This window comes from Homo sapiens, chromosome 21 (assembly GCF_000001405.40).
Source record: "Homo sapiens chromosome 21, GRCh38.p14 Primary Assembly".
Taxonomy (NCBI): Eukaryota; Metazoa; Chordata; class Mammalia; order Primates; family Hominidae; genus Homo; species Homo sapiens.
Genome location: NC_000021.9, coordinates 39,106,553 through 39,126,793, shown reverse-complemented (window position 1 = coordinate 39,126,793; position 20,241 = coordinate 39,106,553). Strand labels below are relative to the sequence as shown.

General features: G+C 47.7%; 1 annotated feature.

The window, feature by feature from the left end:
• Positions 712-771: a silencer, noted in NCBI's record as "silent region_13318". NCBI's record gives its function as "represses an Ori minimal core promoter by ATAC-STARR-seq in GM12878 lymphoblastoid cells {active_cell/tissue: GM12878}" and the evidence as "EXISTENCE:reporter gene assay evidence [ECO:0000049][PMID:35858748]".

Below are 20,241 nucleotides of genomic sequence, written 5' to 3'. Positions count from 1 at the left end.
CCTGGCCTCTACCCACCAGCTGCCAGTACATCCTCTTCCCCGGGTATGCCAAGCAAAAATGTCTCCAGATATTGCCAAATGTCCCCAGGGGACAAAATCATCCCTGGCTAAGAACCGCTGCTTCAGAGGGTGGGGACCGAGAGGGGGCAGGATGGAGGGAGCCATCCACACTTGCGATGCTGCTGGGCCTGGGAGCAACATGAGCTCCCAGCTTCCTCCAGCCCTTTCCCTGCAAGGGGGAATGGCCCAGCTGAGGGGCTGGGATTTTCAGGGGCCTTATTTCAGTGAGCTGGGGTGGGCAGGAGTTTTATATGCACATATATGTTGGGTATAGATCAGGAGTGTGACTGCTGTGCCGAGGGGCTGCACATGCTCAACTCAAATAGATATTGCCAGATAGTTTCCAGAAGTGATTGACCAGTTTGCACTCTGAGTAGAGTGGCAAAATTGCGAGGGGATACTGAGCACTTCCAGGTCTTGGGGACCTGGCCAGCAGCTCGGACAGGCAGCCCCAATCTCTCAAGTCCTCATAAGAAATATGAGTGCCTTCTTTGGACATTACAGGCTCATGGGACCACCTCCTGTTTCATGAGGCCAGTGGCTGGGCCTGTCTTTTCACTCAGAATTGAGAAATCATGCAACAGAGGAGCCTCTAGGTGGCACTGAATTCTGAGGCTTAGAGGACTTGGGCCTTTCCTATCCATGCTGCGAGTTCATTGTGACCTGATGCTGGCCTGGTTGGCCAGCTGAGCCCTGCCCTGCACCTGGGCTCAGAAATGCTGCGGGAGGGGTCTCAGCGGGTGGTGAAAGGCTCTTTCCTGACAAATGCATGTGTGTGTGTGTGTGTGTGTGTCAGTGTGGTGTGTGTGTCTGGTGTGTATGGCCTATGTGTGTTCATACATTTGTGCTGTGTGGGTGTGTGGCATGCATGTGTGTGAGTACATGTGTGCTGTGTGGGTGTGTGGCATACATGTGTGAATACATGTGTGCTGTGTGGGTGTATGGCATGCATGTGTGTGAGTACATGTGTGTTGCGTGGGTGTGTGTGTGACATGCATGTGTGTGAGTACATGTGTGTTGTGTGGGTGTGTGACATGCATGTGTGTGAGTACATGTGTGTTGGGGATGGGTGGGGAGGGGAGGGCTTGCTGAGCTCCTGAAAAAGTTTTGGTCCCTGCTGGAGATTAGGAAGTCAAGCAGAAATTTTTTAGAAGACAACAGTTTACCTGCAGGACACACACACACAAATTAATTTTTTCAAGTACAAAATTCAAAGCCACAAAAAGTTACACAGTGTAAAAGCAAGTGACCCTTCCGTCCTGCCGCAGCCTCTATTTGTCCCTTTTCTACAGTGAAAATAGTGTAAGCACAGTGAAACAGAATATATATAACATATCATCTATCTCTATAATCACTATATAAAATTAATGTATACATATCAAATACAAATTTGTATATATTTGAATATATTATGTATATTATATATATATCATTTTCTTTGGTATGTGGTGAGTGACAGCGTCTTATCTGGGCCCTCAGGAGTGATATTTGCTGCCTGGGCTCCTGTTGGTCTGCAGGCCCTTATGCTACAGAGTAGGCAGTAGCAGTGGCAGGACAAGTGGGAGGAGGGAGGTTCTGGAAGGAGAAGGTCCCTCACCCCCATACACACTTAGATGCACTGATGTGCATGCGTGCACACGTGCAAACACACACACACACACACACACTTGATCCTTTGGTGTTTATTCTACGATTGGTTATTAACAGATTTGGGTGGATTCCTTAAAAGGAATTCCTTTATAGAGTTAGGAGTCTCTATTTAGAGCTCTGTGTACATGCAGGATGTGAGTTGAACAAGCTCTCCCAGGAGCACAGATCTGGAGTGTGTGTGTTTTAAAAGCTCGGCTGCTATTTTTGGGAACGATGCTGGGGAAAGCGATCTTCGCAGGGAAGGGCAAGAGAGAAACTCCTCCTCTACTCCACTTCTTTGTTGACCACAACACTGAAGTGTTGCTAGCAGCATCCCTTGTGCAGTTCTTGGAGGTATATCACATCTTTTTGGCTGTAACTTTAGAGGAGTCTTAGGTTTCTCCAGCATCTTCAGTTTTGACAGATGGGCTGACTGGAGTTCATTAAAAAATGTCCATGTGTGTTCAATTTGCTGGAAACACGTTGGTTCTATTTTCTTAAAATGGGACACGTAAGAGTATTTGAAGATGGTTCAGGTCTCTTCCCATCCACGGTGAGACCTCCTGCTGGGGGGCTGCACTCCCAGCCTTTCTCCAGCTTCTGTCACTGTCTCCAATGAGACTGATACCCCTAAGGACCTCTCAGATGTGTGACTTTCAGATGTAGTGTTGCTTGAAGAGATGTCTGGGGGTCTCAGGAGCCCCTCAAACTCAGTGGTACATCAAAGCCAAGGGGGACCTGTTTCTGGTGGGATGGTGGTTGTATTTGAGGCCTGCAGAGCTGGGAGAGGGGCTTGACTCTGAGCTCCTCCACTTAAAAGCTTGAAGCTCTGGGAAACTCACTGACCCACCTTAAGCCACTCAGTCCTATCCCTGACTATCATTTTATTAAAGTCTATCTCTCCCTTTAGATCTAATAATATTTGCCTTATATATCTGGTGGTCCAGTGTTGGATGCATATATGTTTAGAATTGTTATATCTTCTTGCTGAATTGATCCCTTTATCATTATATAATGACCTTCTTTGTCTCTTTTTACTGTTTATGACTCAAAGTCTGTTTTATTGGATATGAGTGTAGCTAATCCTGCTTGGTTTTGGGTTTCTGTTTGTGTGGGATGTCTTTTTTCATCCCTTTACTTTAGGTCAATATGTGTCTTTGGAGGTGAAATGAGTTTCATTTATACAGCATATAGTTGGATCATTTGAAAAATTCATTCAGTCTATATCTTTTAAGTGGAGTGGTTAATACATTTTCCTGTCATTTTATTAATTGATATCTGATTGTTTTGTATATCCATTGTTCCTTTCTCTCTTATTTATGATTGTGGTTTGGTAATTTTCTGTAGTAGTAATATTTGAGTCTTTGCTCTTCCTTATTTGTGTGTTTGCTTTTCCAATGGGTTTTTATATTTTTGTGTATTTTAATTATGGTAGATACTGTCCTTTTGCTTCCAAATGTGGGACTGCCTTAAGCATTTCTTGTAGGAATGGTCTAGTGGTGATGAATTCCTTTAGCTTTTGCTTGTCTGGGAAAGACTTTATTTCTCATTCATTTATAAAGAAAAACTTTACTGGGTATAGTATCATTTCCTTGGACAGCAGTTTTCTTTTCTTTCAGCTCTGTGAATATATTATTCCACACTGTCCTGGCCTATAAAGTTTCTGCTGAGAAATCTACTGTTAGTCTGACTGAGGTTCCCTCATAAGTGACTAGATGCTTTCCTCTTGTGTTTAGAATTCTCTTTGTCTTTGATTTTTGACAGTTTGACTATAATGTGACATAGAAAAGACCTTTTTTTGCATTTTATTTGTTTGGGGGTCACTGAGATTCCTGTATCCAGATGTATACATCTCTTGCTAAACTTGGGAAATTTTTCAGCTCTTATTTTGTTAAATAAGTTTTCTATTCTTTTAGTTTTCTCTTTACCTTCTGGGACACCAAAAATTAGAATATTTTGTCACTTTATAGTGTCCTATATGTCATGTAAGCTTTGTTCATTTTTTTTAAGATAGAGTTTTGCTCTGTCGCCGAGGCTGGAGTGCAGTGGTGTGATCTCAGCTCACTGCAACCTCTGCCTCCCAGGTTCACAAGCAATTCTCTGCCTCAGCCTCCCGAGTAGCTGGGATTAAAGACGCCCACCACTATGCCCAGCTAATTTTTTTCATATTTTTAGTAGAGATGGTGTCTCACCATCTTGACCAGGCTGATCTTGAACTCTTGACCTCGTGATCCACCCGCCCCGGCCTCCCAAAGTGCTGGGATTACAGGCATGAGCCACCGCACCTGGCCTAGCCTTGTTCATTTTTATTCTTTTTTCTTATTTTTATCTGACTGGTTTATTTCAAAAGACCTCTCTTCAAGTTCTGAAATCCTTTTTCTGCTTGATCTAGTTTATCGTTGAAGCTTTCAAATGTATTTTATATTTTATTTAATGCATTCTTTGGTACTAGAATTTTTATTTGGTCCTTTTTTTATGATACTCATTTCTTTGGTAATTTCTCATTCATATCCTGAATTATGTTTCTGATTTCTTTGAACTATTTTTCTGTATTCACTTGTATCTTACTCTCCTTCTTTAATATCATTATTTTGAATTTCTTTCCCTGAGATTTCATAAGTTCTTTTTGATTTGGATCTGTTGCTGGAGAATTATTGTGTTCCTTTGGTGGTGTTATATTTCCTTGCTTTTTCATGTTTTTTTCTCCTCACATTGATATCTGCACATCTAGTGTAACAGTCACTTCTTCCAATTTCTTGAATTTGCTTTCATGGGTGGGAACTTTTTTCTGAAGATGTATCTGTAGTGTTGAGTAGGGCACTTTGGTTTCGATTGTGGGTACAGTAGCATAGTTTCTGTGTGATTTCTTTGGCCTAACAGTGTCAGTGGTGTTTGATTTCCTCAGTGGCTTAGGATGTGGTTATTAGTGGAGGCTGTGGTCAAATTTTGCCGGGGGAAAGATGCCAGGTTGGCCTGTCCTCAGGTCCCAGTGGTAGTAGCAGTGTGCCAAGTGTGCCTGTCCTTCGGCTTCAGGGATGTGTACGCTGGCGCCAGTGTTAGCAGGTTAAAGAGAGCTGATTTTTGGGACTCCAGGCAGCTTACTCAGATACCAGTAGTGGTGGGCCAGGCAGGTGGGCAGGTTCTTTGGCCCCTAGGCAACAAGCATAGTGTGGGTGATGGCAGTAGCAGTGGCAGGACAAATCTCTGGCTCCCAAGCAGTTTGTGCTGGTGTTGGTGGTGGCTACAACATGCTAGGTGGGCCAGTTGCCAGGCCTGCATGTGGCATGTGCAGGTGGGTGCCCACTGTTGCAGGGATGGCAGGTTGGATGGGCCTAACTTGAAGCCCCTGGGAGGAGGGCTCAGGTGTCAGCGGTGGGGACTAGGCTAGGCAGTCCTCAGTCCTCTGGTTGGCATGCCTGGACACTGGGGGTGCAGAGCCAGGCTGGGTGGACCTGTCCTCAGACCCCCAGTGGTGCTTGCAGGTCCTCGTTGTGGTGGGCAGAGGTGGGGTGATCCCCAGGCCCAAGATGTGCTGCAGCCCTGCTTCTGGGGAGGGCTAAGTAGCTTTCAGTGGCAGCAGCCACAGGTGGCTGAGGAGTGCACACTTTGCGTGTGCATTGGCATCTGTGACTGCTGTGGGCAGGGGGGTTTGTTTTTAAGGTGCATGAAAATGCGTGGCAGCATCACTGCCAGGGGCAGTGGGCTCTTTGTTACTGACTCGCACTTCAGCCCTGGGGGCAGCCGTCAGTCATGGTAGCATCTGTGGGCAGGGGATGTCAGTGGGGCTCCAGGGATGTGGAGATCCAGGGGCTATTGGGTCCAGGATGCAGTCTGGTGAGGGCTAGGCTCTTATTGTGACACCCTGCTGTAGCTGCCTAGGGTGGGGGTGAGGTGGGACCTGGCACGAGTTCCCCTCTGGAGCAAAGCCATCACATGGTCTGTAGGCAGCATCCTAGATAAGTCTTTGGGGCTGTGAGAGTCTAGGGGCTTTCCCGTGGCTAGGATGCAGGAGTCTGCAGTGGAAGTGTGGACCTCTGGGGGTCACTCACTCACCCTTTCCCTGCACTGGGAGCCTCTCCAGGATCCCAGCTGACCCCTGCCAAGCAGGCTGCCTTGCTTTTCTCGCCTTCCTGGCTTTAGGTGTTTCTTTTCACTCTCTGTTGAATTCTAGCGTTCTCTTAGATGATCTGTTCAGAGTGTGACCATCTACTCGCTATTTTCGGTCTTTGTTGTGGAGGGGGTGAGTACCAGAAGCCTGCAGTTAGCCATGCTGAAGCCCTGCTGAGAACCTAATATTTTTGACTCCTTGCTAATTTTGACAACAAAACTTTCTTTCGCTAACTTTATACTGATCCTTACTTATATCTTTTTCTTGGATTCGTCTTTTTTCTTCTGCCAGAGGAAACCCTTTAAGAATTTTCTCAAATAGTGCTTTATGGAACAAGTTCTTTGAAACCATCTATATATGAGCCCGGAGCTATTACTTTTTTGTGTTAAATAATAATCTAACCAGATGCACTGTTCTAAGTTAAAATGCTTTTCTTTAAAATATCTAAGGTATGACTCCATAGTTTTCTTGTATCCTGTTGTTATTGAAAGGCCTGATAAAAATCTTATTTTTGTTCTTTTGTAGGTGTGGTGGGCTGAACTGGGTCGTCTAAAAGGATGTTGAAATCCTAATGCCTTTGGAACTAGGGTAATTGCAGATGTAATTAGTTAAGAGATGAGGTCCTACTGGAGTAGGCTGGGTCCCTAATCCAACATATTGATGTCCCTCTAAGAAGAGGGGAAGAGACACAGAGATGCAGACACTCAGGGGGAAGGCTGTATGAGCAGGGAGGCAGAAGCTGGGAGTGTTGTGTCTACAAGTTGAGGACAGTGGCAAAACCAGAAGCTACGAGGGGCATAGAATGGAATCTCTCCTAGAGCTTTCCGAGGGAGCGTGGCCCTGCTGGTATCTTGATTTTGCATTCGTAGCCTCCAGAACCATGACAGAATGCATTTTTGCTGTTTTAAGTCACCCATTTGTAGTGCCACATTTTGTTCTGGAAGACCTAGGAGACAAATCCAGCAGGTCACCGACTTTTTCTCCTGGAAGATATAACCTCTCATGTTTTTCTTTGCTCTTCCTTCCTGCTGCCTGGCTGGCGTGGGTTCTGCCTGTCCTGTTCACTGCCCCATGAATCCTGTCAGTCTGAGGATTTATAAATGCATGTGACTTTTTCATTTTAGTTTTGGGAGACTTTCAGTTATTGTTTCTTGAGCAACCTCTCCCCCGTGCCCTTTTTCCGCTTCTCTCTCCCTTTAGGGAGCTGTTGCCGCCCCTCTTGTTCTCTGCCTCACCTGACTGTTCTGCCCTTTCGGCTTCTCCTCCCTTCCTGACCCCGGACCCCCAGTGCACTCTTTTTTTTTTTTTTTTTGAGATGGAGTCTTGGTCTGTCACCCAGGCTGGAGTGCAGTGGCATGATCTCAGCTCGCTGCAACCTCCACCTCCCTGGTTCAAGTGATTCTCCTGCCTCAGCCTCCCGAGTAGCTGGGATTATAGGCGCCCACCACCACGCCCAGCTAATTTTTGTATTTTTAGTAGAGATGGGGTTTCACCATGTTGACCAGGCTGGTCTCAAACTCCTGACCTCAGATGATCCGCCAGCCTCGACCTCCCAAAGTGCTGTGATTACAGGCGTGAGCCACCGCGCCCCACCCCCCAGTGCACTCTTCAATGGGTCTGTCCTGCTTCTTAGCCCATCCCTCCTGTCCTTTATTTCATCAATTCTGTTTCATATCTAGCATCAGCAAGTGTTTCTTCTTTCTGTTTGCTTCTGCTTTGTGTTTCCCAAATCCTCTGTTCTCGCACTGGGGGCGTCGCTCGTGTTCACTATGGATTTTCGCTGCCCTAGCTTGGTTCTGTTTCCTCAGGAAAAGGTGATTCTGTGGCTCTTTCCTCTCACTAGGGACTGTGCTCCTGGTCACCTCCCTGCGGGCTTGACCGTGATTCTGCTGGGATGATTGAGGGGTGTAGCTGGAATTGTCTCCCTGGGTATTGGGTAAAAGACTAGGCCTAATGTGGGGTCCCTCGGGTGAGTTTCAGGAAGACAGCAGGTTCTAGTGTGTACAGGGCCCACAGCCCCTGTCCCTCAATCCCTTTTTGTTCCAGGTACTTCTCTCTGTGGGGAAGCCACCCTCCACCCATTTCCCTGGGTAGGGCCGGGGAGGGCAGCCTTTGCTCAGGGGTCTACCAGGGCCTGGCTCCAGAGCTGCTGGGAGTCACCCTGACTGGCACTGAAGCCGCCTCCCCATGGCGGGGCTGGCCTGGATGCTGGCCGAGGCCCCATCTGTGGGTGTGCACAGAGGTTGTTTCCTCCTCCGCCTTCTCTTTTATGGGGTCCTGAGAACCCTGAGGTCCCTGCCCAGCCTGTGGTCTTTGGCTGAGCAATGCAAATGTAATGGGAACCAGGAGGTGTCTTCCAGGTCCCATCCAGGCCTGGTCTGTCCTGGCTACTCCTAGGGGAGAGAACAGGCCTTTCCAACCCCATCCGAGACCCTGCTGGGACCTCTGCATCCACGCTACCTTCCTTCCCTGCTATGCACACCACCCCCAGCAGAATAGTTTGGATGTCGTCTCCTGTAAATCTCGAGTTGAATTGCAATCCCCACTGTCGGAGGCGGGGCTTGGTGGGAGGTGGTTGGATCATGCGGGCGGATTTCTCATGAGTGGTTTAGTGCCATCTCCTTGGTCTTGTCCTCGTGATAGTGAGTGCTTGGGAGATCTGGTTGTTTAAAAGTGTGCGACACCTCCCCTCCATTCTTTCTCTTGCTCCTGTTCTAGCCATGTGACATGCCTGCCCTTGCTTCGCCTTCTGCCATGAGTAAAAGCTCCCTGAGGCCTCCCCAGAAGCTGAGCAGATGCCCTGCGCCATGCTTGTACAGCCTGCAGAACCGGGAACTAGTTAAACCTGTTCTTTATAAATGATGCAACCTTAGGTATTTCTTTATAGCAATGCAAGAATGGCCCAATACACCCAGTGACGCTCCTGGGTTCCTCAGAGCTATTTTGTCAGCTGATGAAGAGGCTCGTAGGTCCAGCCACTTCTGTGATTGCTTGTTTTATCTCCGTGGATGGGGAGGGGGTCCCTGTCAGGGAGCTGGCAGCCCGTACTTGTTTTCCGTTTTGTGTGGACATCACACAGCTTTTTGAACAAAGCAAGAGTCTCACTCATGGCTTCTTGTGTTCTGAGATGTACTTAAATCCTTAAGCAGCGTCCGTGTGAACATGGGACAGCGAGAAGGCATTTGGACTCCTCTTCTGGGCCTTGTGTATTTTGTGGTGCTGAGGGGAGGGCAGGGCGAAATGGGGATGCTGTCTTTGACATGCTGCACAGGCCATGAGGCTGGCTCAGCCTACACTGTAGCGCAGGGACCAGGGCAGGGGAAGCCCTTTTATCTGTTGCTCCTGACTTGGCGGTTCTGTCCTAACAGCAGCAGGGTGGGGACTGCTGAGGATTCAAGAAAAACCAAAGCTCCAGGAAGGATCTGGGCCGATGTGAGGCCCAGCCAGGGGCTGTGTATTGACAAACAAGGACCTTCAGGGACTATCTGGTGGGGCGAGCTTTGCATGGTGGGGTCCTGGGGTGCGCTGGGGTTTTGATCACCACCCAAAGTCTTCATGCATTTGAAGTTTTATAGCCCAGTAATCCAAGGGGGCTGTTTCCTCCCACACAGTCTGCACATTTAGGGCTTCCTGGGGGAGCAGCCCTGTGGCAGAACAGCCCTGTGGCAGAACAACGCCGGCCCCTTCCTCTGGGCCACGCGTTACAAGGGAAAGGCTGAGCCGCCATCTGGGCACGATGCTCGGAGGGATTCCTTCTGCTCATGGCTGCGCTTGACGGTCCAAAATGAGCACCAGCCTTTCAGCATAACAGTGCACAGCCCAGGGTTCTGGAAGGTTCTGATTCTCATGAACCCCAGACCTTGTTCACGCCAAGTGAGCGCTTCAAGATTTTTCCGTGGTGCCAACCAGGCCCTTGAGCTTGCGGAGTGTGAGTCCCAGAGGCCGGCAGGGTCATTGCATGTAGACCAATGACTTCTCCCTGCAGACCACACGGGCAGGGCCCGGGACCTGGGCTGCAAACTCAAGGAGGCCCTCACATTCAGGGTGTGCACCTCTGCACTTCCCTGCTTCCTACACCTCACCCCTTCCCGGCCTAGACCATGTGCTGTCCACTCAGCATGCGTTTACTGAGGGTCCATTCTGTGGCTGGCTATGGGCTAGGCACTGCTGGGGTCATGGAAGTGGAGGAAACTCAGTTTCGGCCTCTGCATGACTTACAATCCATTTGGGGAGCCCATATGTCTACCAGCATATTAGGGTGTTCCAGAGAAACAGAACAAATAGGATATCTCTCTCCTTTCTCTCTCTCTCTCTTTTAACGAATTGGATCATGCAATTATGAGAGCTGGCAAGTCTGAAATCTTCAGGGCAGGCCCATTGGCTGGAGAGCCAGGGAAGAGTTGATGTCTGAAGATGATTGCCTGGCAGAATTCCGTCTTCCTCCAGGGACCTCCATCTTTTCTCTTATGACCTTCAATGGATTGAATGAGGCCCACTCTCATTATGGAGGGTAATTTGCTTTACTCAAAGCCTGTTGACTTAAATGTTAATCCCATCTAAAACATATCTTCACAGTAACGTCTAGACTGGTGTTTGACCTAACAACTGGTCACCACGGCCTAGCCAAGTTGACATATAAAATCAACCATTGCAACCAGTAACTACTAAAAAAAGTCAAATGCAATAAATGCATAATTGCACTGGAAGTATGCAGTGGCCCAAGGACCAGTGACTCTGGGGACTGGGAAAAGCTGCATGGAAGAGAAGATAACTTGGAGAAGGAGGAGGAGATTCCATTAGGCCTAATGTGGTGTGTGGTGGGGAGGCGCTCCTGGCCTCTGTCCTTCATCCCCAGCCCTTGTCTTTGGCATGGGCCTCCAAGAGAGTTGGGAGCAGGAAAGACCCTGGGTGGGCTGTTGTGCGTGAGGGGCCCAGAGGTCCTCGTGAAGCTGTGCTATGCATGAAAAATCCACAGTCAGCTCCAGTGCTGGGCTGTTGAGCCTGGACCTGGAGGGTTGAGGTCGCAGCATCTTGAGCCCAGGTCAAGCTCCTTGCAGGAGAGGCACTGAACTCTTCTGAGACATCCTCAGGAAACATGCGGTGCAGCCCTGCTGGAGTCCAGGGTTGGGGTAAGGCTTGTAGAAAGCTGCCACAACTCCCCACAAAGCCTGACAATGTTCTGACAGCTCTGCTGCCTCCGCAGGGGCTGGAACGCACCACTCCTGGTGGGGGTGGAGACTTAGGAATAATATTGACGTTGATTGATGGCATATTGGCCTGCATGGGTGGCTCATTCCTGCTGCACTGTCCTCAGCGAGCAAGGCACCAGAGGGATCATCTCCAGATGCCCAAAACCAGAGAGATGGAAAACATCATTCCGGGGCAAAGTGTGGTATGGGTTTCTCACTTCCCCTGGGAGCTGGTTGTGGGTCACACGACGTGTGCACAGAAAACACTCTGGCTTTCTGGGCTGGTCCTGCCGTGTTATTTGGAGGCCATTCAATACCTTCACAGTGAGGTTTCATTTTCCACTCACGAAGGGCCCAGAGCTCCCCAAGCTGCAGGGTAACACGTCTGCTATTGTTGAAAGGACAAGACACTCATTGAACACTCAACCCTTGGGTAGAAACACTACCTCACAGGCTGCGGGTGGAGCACAGGGGCAGGCCCCAGCAGGAGGTCCCATCCCAAGCATGGTGTTTAGAATGACAGTTCCCTGGCAGGGGGCTGTGCTGAGGTTGGCAAGCTTGGCTGTGGTACTCACTGACTTGGAATGTCAACCTCCCAAGGGGGGCTGTGCCTCCCAGCACACACAGGGGGGTCGGCAGTGTGGGGAGGGGAGGAGAGACCTGTGGAAATGACCACATGGCTGAGCTGGCCTGGTGCGTCTTGGGTTCAGGGTTCACTCGTGGGGGCATCTGACATCTGCTCTGTTATCCCTCCTGGGGGTGCCTTTGGCAGCTAAAAAACACTACCTGAACAGTCTTCTCGTGTTCAGGTCTTATGGTCTGCAGAGGGCAATTTATATCTATGAAGCAATAGTGACTCATGAGAATGCATTCAGTGCATTCAATGTCCAAGCCCAGCGTCTGGTCTCACTGTGTCCTGGGTTATGTGCAAAGCTTGGGATGCAGGTGGCTGAGTGGTCTGTGATGGACCCTGTCTGTGTTGAAGGAATGTTTGCCTTATTCTGGAAACTTCTTGAATCTGCAATGACCCTTAATGATCCCCTACAGAAGAAATCATTGTTCCCCTGAGAGCTGTGTTCTAAGATCTTTGTCAATGACTTTCATTTTTGATGAATTTTAGCTGAATATACAGAGTATTTGCCATGACATTTTCCTAGGAGTGGGATAAACTTGTTCCAAGCCATCTCTGGTAGACTCATCTGTTCCTTCTTGTGCCTATCATAGTGCGTCCAAGGTGGTTTATGCACGTCCCTTACTGACTCTTAATGTCCCTCTCAGAAATTAGCCAGGTCAATATGACCATCTTCAGGAGAACACTCTTTTATTTACACCGGGCCCTTATCTAGAAACCTAAAGTAGCACAGAGTGGTTTCCTGTGTCCAGTTCAATCCCCCAGTGCAGTGCCTGGCCCGGGTGCTACTGGCAGAATGCACTTCAGTTTCCGTAACCAGGCGTTCCTCTTTCAAGGAACACGCTGAAATTCAGGGCATATTCTGAATCATTTTGAGAGAGGGAAAAAATCCTACCTGAATGAGGAGACCTAGTTTGAGTCCTGCTCCTGCTGTAGAAGACCTCAGAGAAGTTAGTTTTTTGCCTTCCCTGTGCCTCAGTTTCTTCACTATAAAGGAGTGGCCAGTACCTGTACCATGAGGTCATTGTGAGAATTGGACAAAAGGATATGTAAGAAATAGTATCAACTGGTAGAAATGTTGTAAGAGGTTATTTTTCTTCTCATGGTCTTATCTCCTCTGACAGCACAACTTTTTTTTTCTGGAAAAGTTTTTCTTGGCCGGGTGTGGTGGCTTATGATGGTAATCCCAGCACTCTGGGAGGCTGAGGTGGGTGGATAATTTGAGGTCAGGAGTTTGAGACCAGCCTGGCCAACATGGTGAAATCCACCTCTACTAAAAATATAAAAATTAGCCGGGCATGGTGGTGGGCGACTGTAATCCCAGCTACTTGGGAGGCTGAGGCAGGAGAATCGCTTAAACCTGGGAGGTGGAGGTTGCAGTGAGCTGAGATGGCACCATTGCTCTCCAGCCTGGGCAACAGAGCAAGGCTCTGTCTCAAAACAAAAAAACAGAAACATTTTTCTTATGTTGAGCAGAAATCAGCTTCCTTATGTCTTATATCCGGCAGACCTAGTTGTTAGCTTTGGAGCAAAAAAAAGTAACTCCTAACTCTTATTCCAAGTGACATTCTTATAGATGTATAAGAACCTTCCTGTCCATCCACATTACCTCTGTCCATACTAACGCTTGACCCCCTCCACTATCACAGTGCCATTTCAATGCCTGGCATTATCTGGGCTGTCTTAAGAGGCTGTGCCCAGAAGAGAGGAGAATTCTCCAAACAGATGTAGTATATGCAGCTGTGTTCTCAGAGGCCTTTACTGTGTATTTTCCCTGCCTGTTCAATTGTAGGATTCTGAATGGCAGAGCCCCTTTCTGTCATTTGTCTTTTCTCTTGCATTCCAATGCCAGGTAAAGTTATTTTTATATATTGGATAAATAAAACATGTCATGGGCAATAATAATAATTTGCTTCAAGAGAGTGGTAAGTTGAAGCTAGTTTCTGAGAAAGGATTGTTGAATATTTGGAAATTTTGAGATCTGGTTGTTAAATGACTGAGAACTTCAAATTAGCCATGGTGGGATTATTTACACTTTGGAAATTGGCAAATGCTACAAATGAAGATTTTGTTTTTCCTCCCAGAGAGCTGGTTTGCCAGCACAGCACTGCTTTAAGATGAGAAAACCTCCTGTCATTCATTCCCGGAGAAAAATGACATTGACTCCCCCCTGCCCGTTGTTCAGAGGATAAAATTTAACTATGTTTTTTTGTGTTTGTTTTTGTTTTTTTTGGTTCCTGGAATATTTTTTTCTCAAGAAAGAATAAAAAGTAACCCTGGGCTAAAGATGGGCAACTGGAAAGAATGATAATGTTTCCAGGCACATGGAACCCATCCTCCTTCTCCTCCTTTTCTCAGGAAAGCTTTGGTTCAGCCAGAAAATCTGGCTGAGAAAAATATAAGACTTTGCAGACACTCCTCAGAATTTTAAACCATAAGTTTTACTGTCATCATTTTAGACACTTATTTGCTTTAAAGAAACTGTGGAGTAAGAATGTGAAATTCAGTTAACATTCAGGTCTGTTTTTTTTTTTTTTTAAATAACTTGCCATTTGGGAAGGCGATAAAGAGTGTTAATCTCAATTGCTTGGCTGAATGTCTTAGCAAAGTTTTTACTCTGCCAGTTCCAAGATTAGGTGCAGTGTTTCTCAAGGCATAATTTATTTTTGAAATGTTCCTTGGGTTCTGAAATTTCAGCATGCCAATGCTAAACTATTCCTTGAGGGAGAACGACTCTCCCTGAAGAGTCTCCAAGGCCTAATGTTGCTGAGCTTGACTGATAGGCAAAACATCGACAGCCTTAATTTTTTCTTTTCAAAACATGTTTAACTTCAGTAAACCTTAAGCCAAGCCTCTTGCAGATGGCAGACAGCTTAATTGCTGTGGTAACCTTGTCTGACGTTTTTTGGAAAACTTTGGGTGTTATAATAATCCATCGAACCCAGAGAAAATAGATTTCAACCCACACAAAGACATGCATATGGCTCAGAGTCTCAACTTGGCTGCTGAGGTTTTGTCCAAGGGTGTTTCTTTTTTTCCCTCCCTTTCCAGGCTTTCTGGTACAGCTTGCAAGTCCAGCATGTATTGTTTGGGCAGCAAATCAAGAGAGGCCCAAGATGAAATGAATCAGCGTTACTGTTTCTTCCCCTACCCCATCTGCCTTCCCGGAAAGTCTGAGATGTGGATGGTAAGAACAGTTGACTGTATCAATATATTATCTTTATTTTTTTGCCCATTTTTAGCCCATTTTGAAAAGCTTTATTGATATATAATTGATATACAAAAATTGCATATAATGTGTACATTTGGATGAGTTTGGACAAATCCATGTACCCAGGATATCATCACCACAATCAAGGTACTAAGCATATCCATCACCTCCAGAAATCTCTCTGTGGTGTTGTGTGTGCATGTGTGTGTGTGTGTGTTAACACTTAACCTGAGGTCTGTCCTTTTAATATATTGTAACGTGTGCAATACAGTATTGTTAACTCTAGGTGCTATGCTGTATAGCAGGTCTCCAGAACATATTCATCTTGTGTAACTAAAAATTTTACCTGTTGATGTTGGCTATTTTTGCAATTGGGTTTTACATCCTTTTCTTATTTGTTTGCAAGATAGCTTTACATTTTCTGAATATGTCCTTTCTTGGATATATGAATTTCAAAATCTTCCAGTTTGTGGCTTGCCTTTTGTTTCTCTTAATAGTTTTTTTTATGTATATGTCATCTCTCTCTATTTAAGTCTTCTTTGATTTTTCTCAGCAATGTTTATGAGTTGAGGAGGTTTTACACATCTTTTATTAGATTTATTCCTAGACGTGATAGTTTACTTATTTTTAAATTTCACGGATGGTTTGTGCCTCTAGGTTAATGTACATTGTCAATCCTTGAGGCGGCACCAGTTGTGTATTGCAATAATGCATTAGTTGTGCATTATAATAGTGCACTGGCGGTGTATTGCCATAGTGCACTGGCTGTGTATCACAGTAGTGCACTGGCTATGTATTGCCATAGTGCACTGGCTATGTATCACAGTAGTGCACTGGTGGTGTATTGCCATAGTGCACTGGCTATGTATCACAGTAGTGCACTGGCTATGTATTGCCATAGTGCACTGGCTATGTATCACAGTAGTGCACTGGCTATGTACTGCCATAGTGCACTGGCTATGTATCACAGTAGTGCACTGGCTGTGTATCACAATTGCAGTCTACATCTTCCTTGATCATGATCCATGGGCCAGACACCCACAGGCACGTTTTCTTGGGCAATGCATTTTTTCTTCCGTATCCTTGTATAATACGTAGGATGTTTTCTGAATGAATGATTTCTGGTTCAACACAGAATTTGTAATTTTGGGGATATGAGAAAAAAATTCAGCATGAAATCTGCAATTAGTTCTTGCAACTAAGATCGCTGCCATCTTAATGGCAAAGTTAAAAGTAAAACTCAGTGGAGAGTATCTTTGTTTATGTCAACGACCATGGGCTATGAAGTTTGATGACTTTTTCTCAACTGTGTTTATAAACACTGGCAAACACACTGTAGCATGGAGAGTGGCCAACTGAAACATGTTTGTACTTCAAATGGATTTATTTTCACCAGTTCCCCACACATGGGACATGTGACACCGTACCTCCTGAAGAGGTCTCAGTTTAGACCAGAGCTTCTCAACTTTGAACGGACAGCAGCCACCAGAGAGCTCATGAGAATCCATAGTCCTGGGCCCCTTATCCAGAGATGGACTGATCAGTATTCATGGGGCCAGTTAATCTACTTTTTAAACATGTATCCCAAATGATTGTGAGGGAGATAGTATGGGGACCGCACACTGTGAACTCCTGGCATTATTATGGAAGCTCAGTTTTGTCACATATTAGCTGTGTGACCTTGAGCAAGTCACTCTATTTCACTAAGCCCTAGTTTCTACATTTTAAAGAAGTGACAATACTGTATGAGTTAGGTTGCTTTCAGCTGCAACTAACAAAAAACCTGATTTCATCTGGCTTCAACAATCACGGGATTTTACTGGTCTTGGCAATTTAGGAGTCCTGATTTTAGAAGAACAGTAGATGTATTAATCAGCATTGTGAGCACCAGAAGCATGGAGGCATAACGCCACGATGTACACCTCTTGCTCACCGACAATTCAGTGCCGCTAGCTGGGCCCCTCCTCCATTCCTGATGCAGAGATCCACGTTCCTGCCCTCTTGTTTTCCCCATCTCGGCACCTGGCTACTAAGAGCATCATGGGATCAGGAGAGAGGAAAGCACACTGGCTCTTACCTGCCTTAGCCAAGAAGTGACACATACCACTGTCATTTACAATTTAGTGGCCAGACCTAGACATATGGCTCCAATTTAACTGCAAGGACATCCAGCCTCCAGAGCTGAGACAATAACCTACCGCATCTGGGGCACTTCAGTATGGCAGCCCTAGTGGCTCAAGGCACGTGGCAAGCACATGGAATATTTCATGAGTACTAACTGCTTCTGCCAAGCTGAGCTTGAGGTATAACTGCACCAGGCTCTGGTTCTGTTTCTCTGTGGTTCTTTTGCCTCTGCCTTGTCCTACATCATGAATTGGCTTTGTTGGATGAATTGGCTCAGGCTGGCTTCCCTCCTGGTTGCAAGAGGATGTCCAAGGGCATCCAGGCTTCACATCTTCCTATTAATATTTGGGGAGAGAGGTGGTGTTTCCTCCTCCATCTGAAACAGAGCTCTTGAGCTCTTGAGACTGACTTAGGACACACACTGTCCACCCTGGACACAGTCGGGGTCCATCTTTGGTGCTAAGGATAGGGCCAACCTCATCCTAATCAGAATGCAGCGCTTGGGAAGGAATGGAATGGATGTGGGGAGGCTGCAACGATCCCCACACCACACACCTGCATCCCAGGGGTGGTCATGAGCTCTAAAAAATCAGATCCTGACAAAGCACTTGGCTAGTGGCTGGAACTCGAAGGTCTCGGTAAATATCAGCTGTGATGATGATTATTTAACGAAAAGTGTTGTTAGACATTGGGGCACAAACAATATTGTCCTAAACCCTGAGTTGGTGAAGGCGATGCCAGCTGCTAGAACACATAGTTCCCACATTTGGGATCTTTCATGCTGAGAGGCGGAACTGAGAGAGCGGCTCAGGGACCCAGGGGCCTGTGTCATTCATCCTGTGGTCCACCGTGGCGCCCCGGGCTCCCTTGCTTCCTGCTGGGTGGTGGAGGAAGGGAGGAGGAAGGGTTCTGTAGCAGCTTCTTATGGGCCAGCATGGATATGGCTTCCTTGCTTTCACCCCATTCCATCAAGAGGAGCCTGCCCTCATCTGCCAGGGAGGCTGGGAGATGAAGTCTGGCCTGTACCCAGGAAGTAGAGGGCAGAGTTTGAGGACGCAAGGGAGCGGAGAGGTTCTCTCTCGACTCTGCAGACCTGGGCTTCCAAAGCCCCTCCTTCACTCATTCAGCAAGGGCTTAGCGAGAGGATGAGGAGCGCGGCCCGCCCTTGGGGAGCTCCCGTTCTCAGCCCACACCTGGTTAGGGCCCCTGGAGCCCGGGCCTTGTTGGGCAGACACAGGTCTCCCCGCTACCTTGCACACCTGTGGGAACAGAAGAATCTATGGAAGGTGGTACCTGGTGGGGGCAGGGGTAGGAGGAGCTGAGGAAGGAACCAGCTCATGCCAAGAGGTAGAGATTGGACTTTTGACCAGACTTGGGCCCGATATGAGCCAAGACAGCCCCCAAGAGCCCCCTGAAGCCTCAGTTGGGGGAAGGCCACGAGTGGGGTTGTGCCTCAGTGGACAGGGTGGGCTATGAGACAGTGCGCGGCTGGAGCGGGCGCCCGAGGAGGCATTTATTAGTGGCTTCCCTCCTCCATCCTGTTTCTCATCCAAGTGGTTTTGTGCATACACACCCCATGGCTGTTGGGTCACTAGATTGGGATTGATGGCCTGGACTCAAATTAGTAGTTCCATATTCATAGGCTCTGAGAAAAACCTTTTCTTTTTGTTATGTTGTATTTACTCACGTGCTGTAGACGGCACCAGTTCAACGCAGATGGAACCCCAAGGCTCAGAGCTTGCTGTACTTGCTTCGGCCTCCGCAGCACCTTGGTGCCAGGATTCTGAAGGAAAACCACACCATCAACAGCACTCGCCCCTGGGGCTGGGTCCCCGTGGGCGGCCCCACCTTCATCCTCTTCGTTTCTTCACCACCCATCTCTTGCTGCCTCCGTCAAAGCCGCTGTGTAACCAGATGTCCTTTATTTCCTTAAATACTCTCAAGTATTTGTTCTCATTCAGAACTGTCCCTGCAGAAATGACTTCTCCCAGGGCGCAGTGGTGGGTGTTGGCGACCTGCTTGCCTTCCCACTGCCTTCTCCAGGAAAGGCAAGGACGTGGAGTCCCTTCGCAGAAAAGAAACTCTCCACATAGGAGCAGGAAAAGGTTCATTTTCATTTGGAAGCTTTGGACTGAGAGCCAGGAAGAGTCCCAGGAAAAAAGACTTAAGTAGCAAGAAACCACATTTTAAAGCATAGAGGCAGCCTTTCTGGGGTTCAGGGGTTCAGAGGCGTCTTCCAGCATCAGGCTGCCTTCCCTCTTTCTGCTTGGCCACCTCTGTGGGATGGGTGCTTCCTAGGCCTATCTTCTGCTGGTTGAAAGAAGGCTGCTGCTGCTCCATCCATCACCTCCACACTCAGCCGGTTTAGAGTCAGACCTATTTCTCCTCACATGCCTGTCTTTATCAGGGAAGAAAACTTTTCTAGATATCACTGCCACTACCCAGGTTTCTTCCAGCCCGCCCACCACGCTCACCCAATCCACACCCCCTTGACTTGACTCCCTGCATGCTGTACACAGGCCAAGGCGGATTCTTCCTCAGGTTCGCCCAGGTTCACATCTCCTAGGTGCCTTCCTCTTCCTCTTCCGCCTTTTCTGAGCTGAAGGCTGGGGCTCTCCCTGGGGCTTGCAATTTCCTCTACTCTATGCCCGGGAGAGCAGGCTACAGGCCCCGATGCTCCAGGGCTCTCAGGTATCTTTCTGGATATGGTTAAAAGCTCTGTGCTCCAACCATCGAGGTGTGGGCTGCAGGGGGTCAGGTTTTCACTTGCTCCTGCTCTCCATTCTTCTGTCTCGGATCCCCTGGATCAGCCAAGGCAGAGGCTTGGGTTTCTAACATCCTTTGACCTTCTGGCGTCCTACCTGCGGCTGGGCCGTTCCCGTGGGAGGAAGTCCTCCTACCCCAGGGAAGAGCCTCGCTGAGCTGGTGCTTCTCTGCTTGCTCCCCGTGTGCTAAGGAACTTAGAAAATCCTCCTCCTCAGTGAGAACTGGCTTTCATGTGACAGTCGTGCCAAGATGCAAACAGATTCCCACTTGACAGCCCCAGTTGAGGAAGACTTTGTTATTAAGTAAAGTAAGTGCGAGGCACGTAGAAGAGTGGCTGGCACGCAGGAGCACTCGACACACGGTTGCTGCTGTCACTGTAGTGATTATTAGTGAGATAACTGAGCTTCAGGTCAGAATCAGTCCTGTCCTGAGGCCTGGACAAGAAGGGCCTCACCTTGTCCTACCATGGGGCCAGGAGCCTGTGGGGCTCAGAGGACATACCCCACCCTCACTTCCCTTCTAG